The 10,311-nt window shown below is 49.0% G+C and overlaps 1 annotated feature.

The window, feature by feature from the left end:
- Nucleotides 9,497–10,103: an enhancer, noted in NCBI's record as "H3K4me1 hESC enhancer chr1:229115036-229115642 (GRCh37/hg19 assembly coordinates)". NCBI's record gives its function as "activates a minimal SCP1, AML or CMV promoter by ChIP-STARR-seq in naive H9 embryonic stem cells {active_cell/tissue: H9 hESC(naive)}" and the evidence as "EXISTENCE:reporter gene assay evidence [ECO:0000049][PMID:30033119]".

The raw sequence follows: 10,311 nt of genomic DNA on the forward strand, positions 1-10,311 counted from the left end.
TTATAAAAAAGAAAAAAAGCCTACAATAATTTTGAGCAGCCTACAGGGTAAAGCCTTCTTTTCCAAGCCTTGAACTCGAGCACTTCAAAAAGATGCTTCCTGGCTGGGCACGGCGGCTCATGCCTGTAATCCCGGCACTTTGGGAGGCCAAGGTGGGCGGATCACAAGGTCAGGAGTTCAAGACCAGCCTTACCAATATGGTGAAACCCCCATCTCTACTAAAAATACAAAAAAAAAAAAAAAAAGAAAAAAGAAAAAAATTTAGCCAGGCATCATGGTGTGTGTGCCTGTAGTCTCAGCTACTCAGGAGGCCAAGGCAGGAGAATTGCTTGAACCTGTGGGTGGAGGTTGCAATGAGCCGAGATTGCGCCACTGCATTCCAGCCTGGGTGACAGAGAGAGACTCTGTCTCAAAAAAAAAAAGATGCTTCCCCTCTACCCCAATGCTGCCATGCCACTGCCCTCACTTTCTACCTCCTCCCTAAAGCAGCCCTCCTTCTAGCTCCATGGGTTTACGTGCAGTTCTCAGAATGCACTGAAGGCTCTTCTGTCTCTGAGCCTTTTCCCCTCTGCTCTTCTGCCTCTAATACCCCTCCCCATCTCTTAGTTGCTTTAGCCCTGCCTTTCTCTTACAACCGATTCAGGTCCCTTTGTCCGTGAAGTTGTGACTTCCATACCCTGTGACACTCCTAGGGTCCCTGGAGTGCCTTCCTGTTGCCTTTGAATGGTAAAACATCAACCTTGAGCTCTTCACTGATTCATCTGTGAGTTGCCTTTTCATGCCCCACCAACCAGCTGGCTGCTCCTCACAGAAGTCATCCCTGAACCCCGTTTGCAGGCTTATCACTAGCAATGACAGATGCTCAGCTGGTGAAGTAAGTACTCTGGATGGTGGCGACTCTGGTGGTGGTTAGAGTTGTCTGTCAAGCGTGTCTCGCTCTCTGCTGTCGAAGCTCAGGGCGGCTACACTCCCCTTCCTTTCTGAAGTGAAGCAGGGCTGTGGTACCAACTTCGGCCAATGGAATAGGGGTAGCAGGAATGCGTATTCCTTCAAGGCAGAGGGTTTATAAGCCTGTGCACGGTTTGCTGCCCCCAACCCCCAGCCCGGGTTCTCTCTTTATTTCCTGTTGGGAATCTTGGAAATACAGGTCAAGATGGAGCCTTCTTCACCCTGGCTCCATGAATATCGACACAAAACAGAAAGCACACCAACCACATTGGTCACATGGCATGAGTGAAAAATCGACTTTTAATCCGATAAGCCACAGAGAGAGGGTTTGATTGTGTCTGTGACCGCAGCCTACCTCACCTCCCGCACCTCATGTGATGCTGCCAGAGATGGTGAGGAGGGGGCTGCTGCTGCTGCTGCTGGTGGAGGAGATGATGAACAGAAGTCAGTAGAGGCGTGGCTCTCACTTCCCATCATGTCACTTGGTCCCCCTTTGCCCATAGCCAGAAGAAAAGATCTTGCCTCTAAATTGTCATAAAAGTCTGCCTAAATAAAGAGGGAACAAAATTTGAGGCAGTAGTTCCCAAACTTGTTCACACAGGAAACAACTTAAAATTGCAGAACCATTTTCTCTTTGGATGATTCCCGAAGACAGCAGTAATGAAAGCTACCTCGGGACACTTGCTTACACCCCAGGTGCCTTCTTCATTATCTGGAACCTTTACAGCAACTTGGCAAGGTGGATGCCATAAGTTCCCATTTTCCAGGAAGGAGCAAAAAGTTTCCAGAGGACAGGTGGCCTGCGTGGAGCCAGGGAGTTGGTGGTCCGTGGGGATGCTGGTCTCTGATGGGGAACTGTTGGCTCCAAAGCCCAGCAGCAGTTCCGTCATTCTGAGTCCCAATTTTAGTATATGAACTAGGAATGAAACAGCCAGCAGGGACCATTTCTGTATTCTAAGTATCTCTATCAAATTGAGAGTAGATGAGCCCATTAAAAATAAACTATTGAACTCAACATAATTAGCTGCATATAATTTTATATTAATTTACTCCTATTTCATTTATTTTGTTTTCTGCTACCTCTTCTTAGCAAACAATTAGTAGAAGCACAAAAGTTTCAAAAACAGCCAGGCACCGTGGTTCACACCTGTAATCCCAGCACTTTGGGAGACTGAGGCGGGTGGATCACCTGAGCTCGGGAGTTCGACACCAGCCTGACCAACATAGAGAAACCCCATTTCTACTAAAAATACAAAATTAGCCAGGTGTGGTGGCCCATGCCTGTAATCCTAGTTACTCAGGAGGCTGAGGTAGGAGAATCGCTTGAACCAGGGAGGCAGAGGTTGTGGTGAGCTGAGATTATGCCACTGCATTCCAGCCTGGGCAACAAGAGCGAAACTCTGTCTCAAAAAAGAAAAAAAAGTTTCAAAAGCGTTTTATAGGAGGAATTTAAACATAGAGAATGTTTTGTGTGTGTGTGTGTGTGTGTGTGTGTGTGTGTGTGTGTTTTGAGACGGAGTTTCACTCTTGTTGCCCAGGCTGGAGTGCAATGGCTTGATCTCGGCTCACCGCAACCCCCACCTCCCAGGTTCAAGCAATTCTCCTGCCTCAGCCTCCCGAGTAGCTGAGATTACCGGCATGCACCACTACGCCCGGCTAATTTTGTATTTTTAGTAGAGACGGGGTTTCCCCATGTTGAGGCTGGTCTCGAACTCCTGACCTCAGGTGATCCACCTGCCTCAGCTTCCCAAAGTGCTGGGATTACAGGCGTGAGCCACCGCGCCTGGCCCCTGTTTTATGTGTTAATTCAATTTTAGCTTGATTTCGAGTAAAATCCCTCTATTATTCCATTCTAGCCCAGGGACCTCCTTGGGTGAGGCCCGGGGACTATGGGAGCACCACTTAAGAACCACTAGTACTTAAAGTATAATAATAAACCAAACCAAAACAAAACAAAACAAAAGAACCACTAGTAAGGCACCTCCATCACCCCCTCCACCCCAACTCTGACCTCACTTCTTCAGAGCACTTCCTCTCAAGCTCCAGTGGAAGGCAATTGGGCCATTTGGTGAAAGTCAGCCCTTAGCTTCTTGGAGAAGGTCCACAGGGAATGGGCAGCTTGAACTGAGACTTTTTTGTGATGTTAAACCCTGGGGATCCTCTAACTGGGCCATTAGCTCATTTCACAAGTACCGTAAGGGTCAGAGAATTTCTAAACTCCTGACCCAAGAGCAGAACTGATGGCCTGGCCTCCTTCCTGTCTTGCTTTTCGCTCTCTGAGAATCTTATTTTATGCACCTAGCCATTATGCCACACGCTTGTGGCAGTTTTCATACCAGGTTCTATAGAGAGGTCATCAATATGGTGTCTGACTCTGCAGTCAGGCGAACAGGCATTCACGTACTTACCCTGCCTCTTATCTACCTGTGTGCCCTTGGACAAGTTATGGGGCCTATTTAAGCCTCAGTAATCTTTTAGTTAAAATGAGGGATACGATTATTTGGAATATTTTGAATATTCAACTAAATAATACCTTTGTAATATTGAATACTCAATGAATGTTAACTATAATTTTAATATTGTTAAACTCTCAGAAAGTATCCAGTGACCAGTTTAAAATTCTTGCTTTCTGCTTATTATGTAACAGGCTTGATTTAAAAACTTATTCATCCATTCATTCAACAAATGCCTGGTGAGCACACAGCCAGGCACTGTGCAGCCCACACGCCTGCATCCGCACATCGAGGGCTCATAGTTTCATGCGCTCCTTCTGTGTGCATCCAACATAGGGGTGAGGTGCACACCTCCGGGCCATATTGGTTCAGGCCCTAAAGTTACTGGTTATCAAGTCATGGGCAACAATGGCAAGTTTTCACCAAATTCCACCTGTGGAATTTGACAGAATTAGATCCAAGGTGAGGGTCTTTAAGACCCGAAACCCATGACATGTGTGCTTGATGACATGTGACGTAAGTCCCATTCCTGTGGCATGTGTGCACGATGGAACGGCCTCTCAGGGACTATTCCCCACCTGCTCTAGAGACTTCACTCTGGTTTCCCTTCATTTCTTCCTGCCTAGAGGTCTCATTGCAGTTCTGGCTTTTGTCTAAGGTCCAAGGGTATGACCTTGAATCTCTGTCTCCCTGTTCCTATAAATGAAGCTTCTGGGGCGTTTACTCTGTCTCAGTCTGCTCTGTATTGAACTGAATTTATTTGCTCAGGAGAAATTGTTATGAGACCAATGGAAGAAACTAGTGGAGCTGATCATGAGCCCTGATTCTCAACATTATTCCTGGGACCTGTGTTCCCAGCTCCCCACCCCACTGCCTATCAGCCTTCATCCTGTCCTCCCTCTGAGCAACTCCCAGTGCAGCTCTCTCACACCCACCTGGGTGTGGACACCAGGAGAATCCAACTAAAGCACCCATTTCCCCACCCCTCTCCCTGGGGGATTTTCATCAGTACTAATATTTCCATTAGGGAAATATTAATGAAGTAACATTAGGTCTCCAAGTGACCTCTGTGCCTCAGTTTTGTCAGAGGTTTTTTGGGTTTTCTTTTTCCCTTTCTCCCCAGAAGTCGAGCTCAGCTTGACACTAAGCTCATCATTCTCTGGGCTGATGCAGCATTTGTGTCTGATGTTGATCTCCCCCTTCTGTTTCCTATGAGGAGCCTCAGGGTGGGGTGAGTGCTGGTGAGGCGCAGGGCAGGTGTGGATGCTTGAGCAGCCCCTGGTATCGGCTCAGCCCGAAGAAGCCTGAGTGATAAGAGAGATGCCTGGGGGGTTCCCCCTACAGCCCCTCTTGCTCACCTGACAGGATGGCAGGAGAGACAGGGTTGGGGTGGACATGGGAACACCTGCCACCCCAGGCTCGGCATCACAGAAGCTCAGCATGTCCGCCAGAGGCTTGCTGGCTCTGAAGTCACCGTGGAAACCACTCTTCCAGCTTTCTCCCGAGGGGCTCTCTGGCTGCACCTCAACTGAGTCTCACCTAATAATCTCTTATTGAAAACACCTGGTTTCACTCTCGGTGCTGAAGACAAGCCCAGGGAGCCTCACACCCACGACAGCCAGAGATGAGAGGAGGGAAAGGCTCTTCAGGGAGCAGGAGCGTGGGAAAAGGTGTGGCCCAAGAGGGGAAGCAGCCCACTCTGGAAGGCATTGACTTTGGGGTTCAGTTTGCTCTCTCTGCTCCTGCGTGACTTTGGGCTGTCACTTCTTAGAATGTTAGTGTTCCCATCTGTACGATGGGGCAACTCATGTTGTGCTGTTAGAGTTAAATGAGATAGTGCAGACCCTCCTGAAGAATGAAAAGAATGAGATAGTGCAGACCCTCCTGAAGAATGAAAAGAAAAGAAAAGAAAGGAAGAAAAAAAAAAGAAAAGAAGAGAGGCTGCCCCATAAACCCCAGTGGTCTTGGCCAGCTGACACATGGCCGTCACTGAGCAGAGAGAATCGACAAGAAGGAAAGAGACACCAGGGAAAGAGCCCAGTGGGGAATGAAAGGCGTCCATGACGAGATGCTTTAGAAGACACAGAAAGGCAAGCCCAGGCCTCTTCTGCCTAACAAAAGCTATGGCACACCATACCTTGGCCAGGGAGTTAGCTCTCCTGACTTCCTGCCCTCCCTTGGGCCTGGGCTCTGCTCCCTGCCTTCCCTGGCCTCAGCTTCCAGCCCAGTCCAAGAGCACAGGACTGGAAGGGGCTGAACCACTGTCATCTGAGCCCCCATGTTCCTGAGGCCCCAGGGCGCTAGTTCTATAGTAGTCCGACATGTACATGGCTCCAAGCCCTGCCTAGGCTCGGAAGCCTCTGTCCTTTTTCAGAGCTCTGGGCTTCCTGCCTATGCTCCCTTCCTTATGCCCCATTCCAGCCAGGGGGAACCAAATGCTGGAGACAGCGGAGGGCCAGGGATGGAGACAGTGTGCCCCGCTGTGCTCTTGGAGGCCTGCATTCATCTGCACAGGGAGCACTGAGGGCCCTGCCTCCCACCTGCCCCTCCCCACCTCCTTGTCCCTGCCGCCTCCCCTTCCCTCTCTTTGGCCCACTGCACACAGCACACACCAAACCTGATTTTCATGTCCAAAAGCCTCCTGTACTGCTCATGGCCTAGTTCCATTTCTGGGTTTCATTAGTTCCCTGTCACCCATGTGGGGAAAGGAGAGCTGCAGACCATCATGCCGGTCATTTACTGGGCAGGCAGGAGATGCTTTGAGAGATGAATATATGTTCATCTGATGAGATTAAATATATATATATATATTTTTGTGAGACAGAGTCTCACTCTGTCGCCAGGCTAGAGTGCAGTGGCGTGATCTCGGCTCACTGTAACCTCTGCCTCCCAGGTTCAAGTGATTCTCCTGCCTCAGCCTCCCAAGTAGCTGGAACTACAGGCGCCCGCACCATGCCCAGCTAATTTTTGTATTTTTAGTAGAGACGGGTTTTCACCATGTTGGGCAGGATGGTCCGATCTCTTTACCTCGTGATCTGCCCGCCTCGGCCTCCCAATAAATACATTATTATCTCATTCATTCATTCATTCACTCATTCACTCATTCGTTCCAAATGCCTTTTCGTTGCTTTGCCTGGTTCTGGGTGCCATGACAGAGACTTGTCCAGGATTCTTTAGGGCTGAGAGCCCTAAGTTGCTCCCGTGTTAAAGACATAGACAGCACCCAAAACGTGGAGTTCAGAGATGAGTAACCTGCCCAGGTTGAAGTGACACTCTGAAAGATGCCCTCATGGAATTTATTCAGAGCTCGAGACCTGGCTTTCCGGTAGCAGTTTGGTTCTCTGCAGGTGGCATGCAGTGCTGGGCTTGTGGAGAGTTTCTCTGAAGCTCCTGGGGGACTCCTGTCTATTCCCACAGACTCTCCTCTCCCAGCTGGGCAGCATCTGGTTGTCCCTGTGGTGTCTTGTGGTGTGGTCCTGAAGACATGGCCCCGATGGAGAGTTGTTCATACCACAGTCCAAGCTCTATTAATAAAACACTGCTCAGACGTACTGTCATTGAAGACCATCAATAAGTGATTTCTCTAAACCTGCCACACAGTTACTGGCACCATCTTCCCAAACACAGACCAGTCCTGTGACTGCCCCTGACATCCTGAGATGGTTAGGATGAAGAAGACAGACATGCATGTGGCCTGCAAATTGAGGCTAGGGTGGAAGCCCATGTGTGTGTATTATGATGTAGTGTGTGTGTGTGACGGCGTGCAGTATATGTATAGTCTCAGAAGAGTCATCTCACCCCTTGGTCTCAGGGTCGCCATCCATGTCTGTGATTCTTCAAACCCAGGTATTTTTATTTTTATATTTAAATGCTAATCAGAAGCATAGGTCACATTTCACACAGAAGAATCTGAATCCCACTTCTGAGCCCCGCTGCTTATTCCTCTGTGATACCTGGCACCAAGAAATGGTGTTCCCTGTTTCCGACAGGCAGCTCTAACACCTACCTACTGGCTTAGGTGCTTTTTGTTTCTAATTGAATTGCCACTGGAAAACCCACGCCCAAGCTTGTGATCTAAATCTGTTTTGTTTTCTTCGTTTCTGTCCTTTTCTGAAAGGCTGTGGATTTTCCGTGTAAATTACACCTTTTTCTTTTTAAGCTGATTCCTTTTAGGGCTGTGATGACAGGATCGCCTCCTTACTCCTTAAGATCATTCCACTGTCCCCTGGATTTCTGGTCCGCAGGGCTGGGGGAGGAGAGGAGAAGGGAGAGGAAACGGGGAGGGAGTGCTGGCCCCACCTGCTCCTGCCTGGTTCTTCACCCACTCCACACCCACATCTGCTCTCTTCCTGGCCTTCATCTAAAGGAGCCCGCAAGGAAGAGTGTGGCGAACATTCATTCTTGACTGTAACGGATAAGGAGACTTTATCTGCAAACGTACAGAGGTTTTATATAAGGGTCAAGGCCTCAATTTAAAAGAAAATATCTCTAGAGATTTTCAGGCCTTGAAAGCTTTGTATGTGGGGAAGGTATGTTTGTGTGTGTGTGCTATGGTGTGTTGTGTGTGTGTGTGTATGTTAGGGTATGGATGTATATGTGTATTATGTGGAATGTGTGTGTTATGGTGAGAGGTATGTGCCTATGTGTTATGGGAAGGTGTGTGTGTGCTGTGGTGGGGGTATGCGTGTGTGTATGTGTTGTGGTATGGGGGGGGTGTATGTAATGTGTTGGGCATGAGGTGTGTGTTAAGATGTGAAGTGTGTATTAGAATGTGGAGTGTGTGTCTTATAATGTGCGTGTTATGGTGTGGGATATGTACTGTGGTGTGGGGTGTGTATTTTGTTTGTGTGTGTGATGGTGTGTGTTTTTTGGGGTGGGGTGTGGGATGTGTGTTATGCCGTGGGGAGTGTGTGTGTTATGGTGTGCAGTGTGGTGTATGGGTATGGTGTAGGGTGCGTGTGTGTTGGTGGGGTGGGTCAGGGTGGGAGATGAAGGTAGTAGGAAGAAGGTTTTCTTTAGCCCTGGAAATCAAAGCATCTTCGTTCATTAAACATTCATTGTGCACTTATGTGCCAGGAGTGAAGTATAAACACTGGCGATTTAGGAATGAAATCCTACCCTCATTTTGTGCCCAATTAGTAAGACCATTAGAGCCTCTTGTGACATTTAGGTTTTTTGTTTGTTTGTTTTAAATTTACATGTTAATTGCTTTACTTGGAAACAATTCTGGAATTCTGCTTTCTGGCATCAAGAGAGCGCTTAGAAGTTCTTCCTAAAGACACTTACAAGGTCCTTCATTCAATCAACAATCATGCACTACAAGCCACTGAATGCCCAAGTGTGCCCTAGTCTGCACATAGCCTATATGCTACGTGCAGCAGGCAACAAGACAAATGGGAGGTAGCTGTGCTACCCTCAGAACTAACAGGAATGTGGATGGCCCCAGGGAAGCTCACTGGCCAGCCCTGCTCTCTGCTTCCTGTCCCCAGACAATCTGTGTTCCCAAAGCTTGCTTCCATCCCTTGCTAAGCAGCTAGCTGTCAAATCTCCATGTCCTCCACTCTTTCCCCGAGTAAGGAAAGCTCTTCCAGGGACCCTGGAAAAGCATGTCCCAGCCAGCAGCCCGCCTTCTCTCTGCTCAGTGTCTTCCAGGTTGTTTGGCCTCACTTGTGCCTCGGCCGCTTTTGCTCTGCCCTGATTTGCTGACGCAGCGTGTCAGGAGTGAGTCTGGCCCAATGCCTAATCTCAGCCAAATGTTTGACTCCGGCTCAGTTCCCAAAGGTTCCCTGGAGGGAAAGCAGAGTAACAAGTGAGACCCATCAAGGCATTTTCTCTGGAGGGAAGCTTGTGGCGACCTTCAGGTGCGGTACAACACCACACAGCCTCTGGGTTCCACCCAGAGCTAGCTGAGAAGTGACCATCTCGGGGACACTTTGCATTTCCAGATGGTGACTGTAGTGGCCACCTTCCAAACTCACTGCTATGAAGCACCAGCTTGTCAGCCTCTGGACTCACCCCTAGCAGAGCTTCCGCCTTTCCTGAGCCCAGTGGGGTCAGACACCTGGCAAAGGAAGGAAAAAAGGGCGCAGGTGTGTGTCTGCCAGGGGGCTGCACAGCGTGGATTCCAGGATGCTGTTCTGCTCCTTGTGCAGGAGTTGAGTCGGGGATGGGTAGGTAGAGGGCTGGGGCAGAAGTGAGGGGTGCCGATGCTTAGTGGAGGGACCAGGTGCCAGGCACCACTCTGTGCCACACCACCCACCGCAGCACGCAGTGGAGTTTGGGTCTTCAGCTTTGTAGATACCCAAATGGGAGGGTTCTGCTTTTGCATCCTCCCTCGTGCAGCACCAGGTCAGTGCGCTGATGAGGCCAGTCGGGGCTGGGGCCCCCTCCTGCAGGGGAAGTGGAGGAAGGGACAGTTAGTGTATGGGAAGATGGGTTGCAGCCCAGTGGGGGAAGGGACTGGAAGTTGTTGGAGCAGAAGAAGTTGAGAGGAATCAGCACTACTCTCCCTAGCTATCAATTTAACTCTTTCATTGATACGTTAACTCACATACTTATCCAACAAGCATCTGCTGAAGCCAGACACATTGTAGGCACTGAGGGAAAATGCCAGCCCTCTAGATCAGGGCTTTCAACTTTTAAAATCATAATCCACAATATACCGTAAGACATAGCTTTTACGTGGTGATCCAGCGCACATACAACTATTCACACACAGAGACACATGCAGACACACACACATCCACACAGACACACACGCATTCACAGAGACACATAATACACAGACACACACATTCACACACACACTCACACAGACCCACACACAAACACACATTTGCACACACCCATTCACACAGAGACATATACAGACACACAGAAACACACATTTGCACAGACAGAAGAAACAAAA

This window comes from Homo sapiens, chromosome 1 (assembly GCF_000001405.40).
Source record: "Homo sapiens chromosome 1, GRCh38.p14 Primary Assembly".
Taxonomy (NCBI): Eukaryota; Metazoa; Chordata; class Mammalia; order Primates; family Hominidae; genus Homo; species Homo sapiens.